Here is a 12,176-nt window from a genome sequence, read left to right as displayed (position 1 = left end):
AGGCTGACGTGGCTGGATCGAAGAAAGCAAGTGATGGACAATGAGGTCAGAGAAGTGAGAGGGGCCAGATCACTGGGATTTTGTAAGAACTGGTGAGATGTTTGGATTCTATGCAGTTGAGAGTATTAAGCAAAAGGGCATGAGACCAGGTTGTAGATGAGAACAGAGTCAGGGGAGACCAGTGAGGAGCTGGTGCCATTGTCATGTGACAGGTAACAGTAGCTTCAACTAGAAAGGAAGAAATGGAGATGAAGAGACAGGGATGAATTCAGGATAGTTTTGGAAGTGGTGCTGAGAGGATTTGCTGAAGGAATCAGGGTGGGGTAATGAATGCAGAGGAGTCAAGGATTACTCACGGATTCCTGGCTTGCACTGCTGCAGATGCCATTTACACAGCTGGAGAAGACAGGAGAAGGTACACATTTAGGAAAACAAGGAAAGAAGATGTTATGGGTTGAACACTACGTCACTCAAAAAGATATGTTGAAATTCAAATCTACAGTACCTCAGAGTAGGACCTGATTTGGAAATAAGTTTGTTGCATGTGTAATTAGCTAAGGTAAGATGAAGTCACACTGGAATAGGGTGGCTCTTAATCTAAAATGACAGGTGTCCTTATGAGAAGAGGGAAATGTAGACACAGGGATACGCAGAGAAAACCTCACGTGAAGATGCAGACACTGGGAGAGGACGGTCGCATGCAGACAGAGGTAGAAATTGGAGTAATGCATGTACAAACCAAGGAAGGCAAAGAACCACTGCTGTCACCTGAAGCCAGGAGAGAGGCACGGGACGGGTCCGCCCTCAGAGCCGGCCAGAAGAAACCAACCCTGCCGAAACTGCTTTCAGACTTCTAACCTCCAGCCCCGTGTGAGAATACATCTCTGTTGTTTCAAGCCACCCAGTTTGTGGCACTTTGTTACCCAGTGCTCACAAGCAAATACAGAAGAGAAGAAGGATTTCTGTCAGGGCTTTGTTATGTTTAAGAAGCCTTTTAGACATTCTTGTGGAGATATCAAGTAGGAATTAGCCTAGAATTACTATGAATCTAGAATTATGGTATATAAAGCAATACCACTGTAATTTATTGAAGTACTTTGTGTGATATAAAAAACCTGACATATAAATTAATAGTTCGAAAGGGGGAAATTGTAATTATTACTCATAATTACATGTAAATGACAGAATGCATATTCCATGAAATATTATGCAGCCTCTAAAAAGAATCATTTTAAAGACTAGGTAGGAGCATGAAAAATGCTTATGATCATCACAAAGGCAGTGATTGCCACTTTGTAATAACTGCCTACGAATGGGAAGCAGATGTCAAACTTTATGGATTCAAATCATAGCTTCAGCTCTTCTGAGTGCCCTGAGATACACAGCATGTCAGTATCCTGTGCATTATGTGTGTTCCCTGTATTTGCAGCACCAGGGTAAATGAACACAAGGCTGAATTGCAAAGTGCTGAGATGATAAAGTAAAGAAGTAATCGGAGTAGACATAGAATTAAGCAAGGATAACTTCCTGGAAGCACATGGCCTGGGACAGGAAGCTTATCATGGGCCAGACATAGTGCCAGCATCAAGGGTACACTCAGGACAAGCCCCTGTAAGTCCTTCTCTGGAAACACATCTGTGCTGGAGCTCCTGCCACCCACAGCCTTCTCATTGATTTCTTATCATGGCCTTCTATCCCACTGTGAGCTCCTGGCGGACAGGGGCTGTATCTTGTTCTTCTCTGTATCCTAAGCACAAGACCTGACACTTGGTAGGTATAAATTAATGACAATTAATAGAACATCAGAACCATAATTTTACTGTCTTTGTTTACAAGAACTTGCAACAAAGGCACGTTAATACTGAGTCCCTCAACCTGTGAACATGAGAATACCGAGCAATTAAGGGTTTAAAGCCTGAAGCACAGCTGATCTTTCAGGTAATGGTTAAGTGCCTTTATCTGAGGTAAGCCCAAGCTTTTAGTTGCTTTGGAAGATGTGATAGAGGCAAACAACACCAATTAGAAAAATATAATGGAAGGAGAGATCCCATTTTACAAAAGCAAATATAATTGCTAAATTAAGTAAGTAGGACTCCCTGTGCATACTCATAAGTCAACTTTGTTTTGCCTTCCAGCTCCCTATAAAGATTTATTCAAAGGGAAGGGAGAGATATCCTTTCTCTATCCTTTAAGGAAAACTCAAGCATCTTATGACTGTTGTGATCACTCTTAGGAACTAAAAAGTCCTATGATCACTTCAGTCACCAAACAACTCTATTCATAAATTTGATGTTCAGTCCCATACAAAAGCAAAATTCTCAACTTGATTTAAAATACAATCTTCTCTCCCAAACAGGGCTTGCTGCAGGTTTGGGACCCCTATAGCTGGGAATAGTGTCACGGGCAGCTGCTTCTTTCCCTGGAGTTTCCTTCTCAGCTTACTAAGGCTGTTTAGTGTGGCTGCTTCTTTCTTTAAGATTGTAATAAATTTAAAATGCGTAACATAAGATTTACCATCTTAACTACTCCCAAGTGCACAGTTCAGTAGTGTTGAGTATATTCACATTGCTGTGCAAGCTGTGACTTCTGACCTCTCCAGCACTAGAGGGATTGGTAGGGAGGAAAGGTAGAAGAAAGGGGAGCAGAAGAGCTTACTTGACCAGTACTGCCATAAGATGGCTTTCAAGGGCTTTAAAGCAGACTCGGACTCTTTCATGGGCATGTCCATGGGCTTTTTAGACACTCCCCCAATCTCTCTCTCTCTTTTTATTTTTGAGAAGAAGTCTTGCTCTGTCACCCAGGCTAGAGTGCAATGGCATGATCTTGGCTCACTGCAACCTTCACCTCCCAGGTTCAAGTGATTCTTATGCCTCAGCATCCTGAGTAGCTGGGATTACAGGCGTGCACCACCATGCCAGGATAATTTTTGTATTTTTAGTAGAGATGGGGTTTCACCATGTTGGCCAGGCTGATCTTGAACTCCTGACCTCAAGTGATCCACCCGTTTTGGCCTCCCAAAGTGCTGGGATTACAAGTGTGAGCCACTGTGCTGGGCCACTCCCCCAGTCTCTAAAGACCTTTCACCATTCCACGTTCATTGCACCACACTGTATCCCATCGTTCACTCCTTCTGCCGCCGTAGGAATCCAGCAATGTGTTCAGTTTGTCACCCTCCCCCACTGGACAAAACTAAGAGGCCTTTCACATCAGCTTCCTTGTGCATGGCCTGCTTCTAGTCCATGGGAACAGCGTTCTTTGCCCACACCAACTTTAGGAATTGAGGCTGATCTGAGCAGAGCCACCTCTCCTTTGTCTTGTTTGTCTAAAATGGTGCCCATATCTCATTGTTAAGATTTCTTGGGTGGCTGGTATATGCTATCATGAGACAAAGCTCACCATGTTTCCCCTTCTCAAACTACCATTGACATTATTATGTGCATGCATACACACACACACACACACACACACACACACACACACACACTCATACCCATATAGGAGAATCCAAGATGAATCCAACACTGTTTCTTAAGGGATTCAGTCTATTAGGGGAACTACAACATGTGCCCATGAGACAAGTACAAGGCAGGTTCATTTCTGCTGCATGCAGTGGAGAAGGCTCCATGGAGAAGATGGCCTCTAAGCTGGGTCTGGAAGAATGACTAAGGTTTGGATACACTGAAATGAAGTTATTTCTGAGAGGAGAAGTAATGTAAGCAAACACCCAGCAGTGGGACTCAAGGGAGGTGCAGACAGAGACCCTTAAGCAGTTTGCTTATATGAGACAAGTGGAAGATAAGGCCAAGCCAGACCAAAAACAAACAAGATAAAGGGTTTGGATGTTTTCCTGCAGGAACTGAGACATTTTGAAAGTTTCTGGACAGCGCTGCAGGATGGAGGATGGATTAGGGAGGGTAGTGACTAACTCTTGGTGAAATGTAGGGTCCCATTAAGAAGAAAAACAAAACAAAAACCTTTCAGGACCTGCTTTCTTTCCCAGAAAAAACCCTGCCCTTTGGAGCCTCTCATGCGTTTGGTTGATAAAGGCATTTGATCCTGTTTTTTACTGTTAAGGGGCCTTGGCACAGCTGCCAGTCCCAGGAGCCTATTCCCAGCTCTGAGTCCTGGTGGGGCTGCTTGACCCATTCCCCTGTGTCCCCTAAAGACTGTGTCCCCCAAAGATTGCTCTCTGGTAGTGTACAAGGAGAAAGGCTTGCCTTTCTGGGCAGCCAGGCCAAGGAACCCTGGCCTCTGATGAGTCCAGCCACAAAGGCTCCACCCTGGGCCCCACTGAACTCAGACCTGCAGCCAAATGGAAAAAATCCAGGAGGCTACGAAGCCAAGAAAAAGAAGATTTGGATTCAAATCCTAGCTCTTCCCCTTCCCTTTCTGACCTTGAGAGACCTCACTGAGCCTCTATGTCTTAATCTGTAAAATGGAAACAAAAGCAACTACCCTACAGGTTTATTTGCCAAGATGAAATGACAGAGATTCATAAGTATACCTTGCACATAGCAGCCATTCAATAAATATTCCTCGCACCTCTTCCCCCAAAATCTCTCTGTGTCTCCATTTCCTCACTTATTAAATGTGATGGAGACCCAAGAATAAAGTTGAATGAGGTGATTTTCCCAAACCTCTGTCATCTGCCCCACACAGAGGCCCTTGGGAGAGCAGAGGGCCTTCATCTGAGCTCTTGAAGCTATTTATTCTTTTATTTTCAAAAACGTAAAAAAAAATCACAAAAGATCCCTTGCTAGTAATAACACTGGCACACACTTGCAATGGGCCAGTATCCTCTAACCTCTCCTCACTACCACCATCTGACTTAGGTTCCCATCTGTAAAGCAGCCTGGGGCAGGTCCCATCTGCAACTGCCCACAAGGTTGGGAGGACAGTGCCCGGCAGAGGGCGCTCCGAGTGTAACCTCCTAGCCAAGGCCCTGGGGGAAGGCAACAGGCCAAGGAAAATTCTGGTGGAAAAAATGAAGAAAGGATTCCAGGTTTATGAGTCTCAGACTTTGAAAAACAAAACTGCTGAGTTGTCTCCTGAGTTAGGAAAAAGAACACCACAGCCGCCTCGAGATTTCCAGGAAACTATTTCTGAAGGCTTTGGGCAAGGCTGGCAGGGGGCTGGCAGGGGAAACTTGGGCTGCCCCAGCTTAGGGTCCAATGCCCTGGCGGGTGGGAGATGGAGGTGGGTGGTGTGCATGTGGGAACGTCAGTGTGCATGTGTTCTTCAGCATGGTGGGGCTATGTGGGTTTACATGTGCCCTGTCTGTACACGTTTGTATGAGCCTGTGGGTACAATCCCACCAGTACGTATTGAGCACCTTCTGTGCTCTGCTGGGCATAGTGCCAGGTGATGGGATGCACCAGCAAATGAAACACAGTCTCTAAATTCATAAAGCTTAGTTTAGAGAAGGATGCAAAGTAACTGGCAATTTTAATTCAGAGTGCAGGCATCTGGGTGGTGGTTTGTGCAGCGGTTCAGAACACTGGCTTTGTGGTCAGGCAGCCTAGATTTTGACATGATCTTAGAGATCTTTCTGACATTCAGTCTCCTTAGGTGGAAAGTGCAAATATTAAAACCACATCCCGGGAGATACTATGTGTGTGTCAATGTCCAATGAAGGTCTCTATTATGTGTGTGCAGGGTCCACATCTGGATGAACAATGTGAACAGCCCGGGTGAGTTACATGTGGGCACGTTCACACATCTGCTTTTGTTGTGTTTATGGAGTGCCAGGCTCTACCAGAGGTCACAAATAGTGGCCCACAGACACAGTTCATAGGGATGCTCATTTGGTTTGGGTTTATTTTTTGGCTTATAGGGTGTTCTAAAAATCAAGTCGTTTCACATAAAAATCCAGATTTCCAACTTCTTTTGAAATCTTGGGTAAGCCAGCCATCCTGCGAGCATGTGCGTGTGTATGCCTGCCTGCCACAGTCTCTGCTTCCTGATAGATACGTCCTTCCCAGGGGCACCCTCCCCCTTGGCCAGTGTCCAGGGCTGTCCTTGGAGGGGTTCCAAGACTGCTCAGGAGAGCTGGTGTGTAGACATGTTCCCTGTGAAAGGAGAAGCAGGACTGAGCAGGAGCTGGTGCCAGGGCCCCAGGGCTCCCCAAGCAGTTCCAGTTTCAGCAATCACAGGGGCCAGAGAGAGCCATGGGCCCTACCCACAGCTCTCTGGCTGTGCAGCTGGGCACTGGTTACAGAAGATAGTAACCAAGGATGGCAGTAGACAGAATGGCTTTTCTTATCTATTTGATTTTGCATTTTAAAATGTTACAAGTGCACATCTGAAATGATTAAGACAATGATCTCCAGAAAGTGTTGCTAGATATATATGCTAGAATTATTTTTAAAATTTACAAAAAGATTGTAGGCTCATGCCTATAATCCCAGCACTTTGGGAGGCCAAAGCAGGAGGATCACTAAAGCCCAGGAGTTTGAGACCAGCCTGGGTAACATAGTGAGACCCTGTTTCTAAAAAAAAAAAAAAATTTGTTTTTAATTAGCCAGGCGTGGTGGTGCATGCCTGTAGTCCCAGTTGCTTGGGAGGGTGTGGTGGGAGGATCACTTGAGCCCAGGAGGTGGAGGCTACAGTGAGCCATGATCACAACACTGGATAAAGGAGTGAGACTCTATCTCAAACAAAAAAAAATTGCAAAAAGGCTAATGGTAGAAGCTAAACACATATTTGTTAAATACATCTGGGTAACCCACAGGTGTGAAAGGTAGGGTTAATATTTCCTAGTATCCCAGAATCCTCTTATGAAGGCAAAGAAGTCCCTCTTAATATATCATTACTGGGCCCCCACTGTGTACAAGATGCAGGCTAGGCACAAAGGAGCCTACAGAGATGTCTGTGCCCTGCTTCTTGGCCCTCAGGAAACTCAGTCTTGTGGAGACATATCCAAGGAGAAACGAATGCAGGAATAAAAGGACAGAGTTATTACTAAGATGTCTTGAGACAATAGGGCATCAGAATACAGAGGAAGAGGCTTCTGGACCTTGGACTGACTGTGCAAGTTCATTTCTCTCTCTGGGCCCCCATTTCCCCTTTTGTAAGACAAGGAGTTCAGAAGAGATGAGCAAACATCAACTCCACTTTCACAACCCTCCCGACCCCCAGCTTGTGCATTCTTTGAGAGAGTGAGAGCTGCACCCTGGTTCTTAGCCTCTTGCTCCTGCTACATATTCTTGCTCCCAAGCCTTGGCTTGTGCTGGGAATTTGCCTGGCTTGAGCTCTGAAAGAAATCCATCAGAGGAGGTTTTTCACATAGCTTCCCTTAAAAAAAAAAAACGCACAAAATGTTTGGAGTCCAAAAAGACCATGCCTCTAGTGGAAGCTTCCAGCACCCGTTATAGGGGTTCCTGGTACCACCCCAAGTACAGGTGGGGAGAACAGCCCCTCAACAGATGGGAGAATGTGCCTCTTCCCCAGGACCAGGGCTTGAATGATTAAAGTTTAAAGAATTAAATGGTTCATGCTGAAGGATTCCCCTGAAGTCATTCTCCCACTTTGCAGGTAAGAAAAATAAGGTTCAAGGATGGGAGGAACTTTCCGCCACAGTCCTCCAACATCAAAGCAAATCTTCTGATTTCTGAGTAACAGCTTTCCCCACTCCTTGATTTTTCTCTCTCAGGCTGAGTCCTCAAGATAGAGTGAGATGGGAACCTTCATACTGTATCCTTCCTCAGCCAGATGTTAACAGCTGTTGAGTTCGAACACTGCGTTATTCTTGTGCTGTACTAGCCAGTGGCCAGGGAACCCAAGCCTCCCAAAGGTGAGTGTGAAGAAAGAGCAATAATTCCGTAGCCCGGAAAAAGGCCCTGGGGCAGCATGTCCACCTTTAGGAGTGTCTTTGTTTCCAGAGTCCATGAAAGAAGGAATTGTCACACAGCAAAACCAGTCTCTTAGAACAGGACGCATAGGTAGCCAGAGATGGCAAAGAAAGGCAGTAGGCTGGCTAGTATCAATGTCTTCCTCATCATTGGCATCTTAGAGCATGTCCCTATCAAAGGGTCCCTCTGCTAAGCTCTTCCCCTGAACCACATTACCTGACCACGAGTGTCATTGGCACTTCCATCAGAAACTGAAATCCCCATTGCGCCTTCAAAGTGCACAACCAATTAGTAAAACCCCAGGGACTGCTTGGTGCCTACAATTCAAATAACTTCAGAGGTTCTTTGTTTCTTTTCTTAAAATCTGGAAATCTCTTGGGATAGAGAAAATCACTGGACATAGAAACTCCCTTCAACAAACAACCCCAGATTTCTTTCCAAATTTTTCCTAGAATGCTATTTCTAACTTCACAACACACAGGAAAAGGCCAGGTTGAAGATACTTAATAAATGTTTTCTGATGGTGGGGAAATCATCATTAACTATTGTTACCATAAGTAAAATTTGTATTAATAGCATCTTGCATATTAGTCATTTATTGAATAAATATTTAGTGATGTCTCCTATGTAACTAGCATCATGCTAAGCCAGGGGAAACAACAATGAAATCAGATACAGCTTTACTTTCATGGTTTTAATTCATCTAATTTCATATATTCCTATACACATTTTCATATATTCCTACAATTTCGTGTATTCATAATTCTGTGGTAGAAAGAAAAAAACCTGTAAACAGGCACGTTTTTAAAAATGCTAGTTATTATAAGTGTAATAAGAACCAAGATGGAGATTAACAGAAGGAAATTTGGGACATTTTTAATAATCAGACCATAGCAAAAAGTACACGTGTTATGCTGTCATTTTTATAAGATCATGTTTTATTTCTTTGTTTTGTTGTTGATATCAGTTCTGTGTAATGTGCCAAAGGGACATACTGAATTTGGATTGAAGAACCCAGTACCATTTGGTCTTCTAATCTGATAGGTTGCTGACAGCTTGTAATCATCTGTTTAATTAAATTTCTTGGTTCAAGAATCAGAAGTTATCAGAGCAGATTAAAATGATGCTAACAGAAAAGCTGTTCACTAATTGTTTTTACTGAACACAAGCCGTATGACAGAGACAAGGCGTGCTGCTGGTAATAAGAAGAAGGCACCAAAGGGCTGACTGGGGTTGAGGGAGTGAGAACCATTCTGGGCTCCACATTTTAAGGGCTGTTGACAAACAGGAGCCTGCCCAAATGGCTGCCTTTAGCCGGCTGGATTCACTTACGTGTTCCATTCATTCTGCTTAGAATGGATGATAAATCTCTACTCTGGGAAACAGTGCAGGCCAGGAGGTGGTTGGATGCTTAGAGGCAAAGTCTAGGGTGCACATCACTTGTGCTCCATCATCTCATCATCTCCAATGCAGAATGGCTTGCAAATCTGTGATCATCTAGAATCCCCCTGGCTGCAGGAGCCACAAAGGCTACTAGGTTAGGCAGACAACTTCAATGTCAAGGGTCGGATTGCTAAGGGATTGGGGCAAAACTGGAGACTGAAAGCCTTTCCGTGCCTCTTAGAACAAGCCAAACATATTAATACATGGACAAGAAGGTAGAGGGTGGAGGCTCAAACACTGCCTGCTTCCCTGTGTTCATTTTCTTGTTCCTCAGTCATGGCTCCATGGTCAGACCACCAGATATGAGGCTTTGGCCAGATAAACTATTTCTCTTTTTAAAGTTATTTTTAGAAAAAAAAAAATTCAACTGGGTAGACATGAGTGGCCTCCAAAAGATTTTGTTTCCTTTCTGAGTCAGGTTCAGCCTCACTGGGCTCGCTTTCAATTTCTGTTGCCTTGCTGCTCCCTGGGCGTTCAGAGGTCCTCCGGTGATGCCCCTCCATTTCAAGAGCCCCCCAAATGAAGCTGAATGACTACAGATAAGTTTTTGGTACTTTCCAAAATTAAACTATTTCCCTTGGTAAATTTCCAGCAAATGAGCTCATTAATCTGAAAACAGGATGTGGCACATGAAGAGAGTGAGGTCAGACTGCCTGCTCTTTTCACTTACACTGGCTTAGGGCAGAGAGGAAGGGGTGGGTGGGACAGAAGAGAATGGCTTTTATAGGCCCCAAATCCTTGAGAAACTTTTCTTCAAAAGGCCCTTGTGCAGTGTGCCCACCTTTGGAAGAGTCTTTGTTTCCAGAGTCCATGAAAGGAAGAATTGCCACACAGAAAAACCAGTCTGTTAGAACAGGACACATGGGTAGCTACAGATGACAAAGAGAGGCAGTGAGCTGGCTAGTATCAATGTCTTCCTCATCACTGGCATCTTAGAGCATGTCCCTGATCCATCTGCCAAGCTCTTCCCCTGAACCACATCACCTGACCATGAGTGTCACTGGCACTTCCATCAGAAATTGAAATCCCCATTGCGCCTTCAAAGTGGCCAGTCCCATAAACAACTAGAAAAACCCCAGGGATTGCTTGGTGCCTAGAATTCAAATAACTTCAGAGGTGCTTTGTTTCTTTTCTTAAAATCTGGAAATCTATTGAGTTAGGGAAAATCACTAGACTTAGAAACTCCCTTCAACAAATAACCCCAGATTTCTTCCCAAATTTTTGCTGGAATGTTATTTCTAACTTCACAACACCCAGGAAAAGGCAAGGTCAAAGATAATTAAATGTTTTCTGATGATGGGAAAACTATCAGACTAATTGACTCAGAGTCCATCAATTTTTATTTATTTATTTATTATTTTATTATTATTATTATTTTTCTAGATGGAGTCTCGCACTCTCTCCCAGGCTGGAGTGCAGTGGAGCGATCTCAGCTCACTGCAAGCTCCGCCTCCCGGGTTCACGCCCTTCTCCTGCCTCAGCCTCCCGAGTAGCTGGGACTACAGGCGCCCGCCACCACGCCCGGCTAATTTTTTGTATTTTTAGTAGAGATGGGGTTTCACCGTGTTAGCCAGGATGGTCTCGATTTTCTGACCTTGTGATCCGCCCGCCTCGGCCTCCCAAAGTGCTGGGATTACAGGCGTGAGCCATCGCGCCCGGCCGAGTCCATCAATTTTTAATTCAAACACTTAACTCTTTGAATCCTTTTCCCGTAGAATTGAATGGCCCCACAGAGGCTACATCTGGGCAACCTCCCGTAGATTGCAGAAATTCTCTCTTAGAGGCCCCTGCCCATAGATTGCAGAAATTCTCTCTTAGAGGCCCCTGAGATCTTCTGCTTGTCCACAAGCAGCATCTCCCTCCCAGGTGGGCCTCTGAGGTCCCCCTTTCACTAGAGTACCCTGTGTTCCGCAGCTTCCGCCTGTCTAGCGGAAGTTGGAGGACAGCAGCTCTGCCTCCAATAAGTGAGAGTCTTACAGGCATGCCAGGTTAAAAAACAAGTAAAAGATCGTTCCCTGCTCTTACAATCCAGTTGAGAGTCAGGACATAAAAAGGGACCCTAGGCCAGGCGCGGTGGCTCATGCCTGTAATCCCAGCACTTTGGGAGGCCGAGGTGGGAGGATCACCTGAAGTCAGGAGATCGAGATCAGCCTAGCCAACGTGGTGAGACCCCCGTCTCTACTAAAAATACAAAAATTAGCCAGGCGTGGTCGTGGGCGTGGTGGTGGGCCCAGCTACTCAGGAGGCTGAAACAGGAGAATCACTTGAACCCGGGAGGCAGAGGTTGCAGTGAGCCGCGATTGGGCCATTGCACTCCAGCCTGGGTGACAAGAGCCAAACTCCATCTCAAAAAAAAAAAGACCCTAACACATAAAGAGATTTTGAGCTGTTAAAACCAAACCAACAAGGTGGGCAGCTTCATCCCTCCCTCCACCATCAGTCCTACAAGGTTAAGACATCTGACAGAGAAGGAGCCCTTGTCAAATTGGTAGTTCGCAAAAATAAAGGTGTAGCTTTTAATCTAAAATTCTACCCCAACACTAAGTTCCATAACTATTTTGATTAATATATTCTTAAGGATTTAGCGACCGTGTGTGTGTGTGTTTAGACGAAAACAGAAACGGTTCCTTAAAATATCCAGTTTGTAAAAGCACAGTGCCTTGAACCACTTAGTACTATCATTTTGATCAAGTACTATCAAGTACTATCACTTGATTGCTCCAACCCAATAAGCTTGGGCGAGCCTGGCACTGTGCTAGGATCTTCTGGAGAAATCCAAGAAAGGTAAGACTGCGGTTTTACTCCTCTTCACCTTCTCACTACTCGGATTTTGGGCAGGCAGGGGACCAGGGTGGGGGCTCCAATTCCCGGTTTGTGTTTGTT

At 44.9% G+C, this 12,176-nt stretch overlaps 2 annotated features.

Moving 5' to 3' along the window:
• Window positions 9,536–10,045: an enhancer, noted in NCBI's record as "active region_28911". NCBI's record gives its function as "activates an Ori minimal core promoter by ATAC-STARR-seq in GM12878 lymphoblastoid cells {active_cell/tissue: GM12878}" and the evidence as "EXISTENCE:reporter gene assay evidence [ECO:0000049][PMID:35858748]".
• Window positions 10,146–10,245: an enhancer, noted in NCBI's record as "active region_28910". NCBI's record gives its function as "activates an Ori minimal core promoter by ATAC-STARR-seq in GM12878 lymphoblastoid cells {active_cell/tissue: GM12878}" and the evidence as "EXISTENCE:reporter gene assay evidence [ECO:0000049][PMID:35858748]".

The sequence above is a fragment of the Homo sapiens genome, chromosome 9 (assembly GCF_000001405.40).
Source record: "Homo sapiens chromosome 9, GRCh38.p14 Primary Assembly".
Lineage (NCBI taxonomy): Eukaryota > Metazoa > Chordata > Mammalia > Primates > Hominidae > Homo > Homo sapiens.
This window is presented reverse-complemented; position numbering and strand designations above follow the sequence as displayed.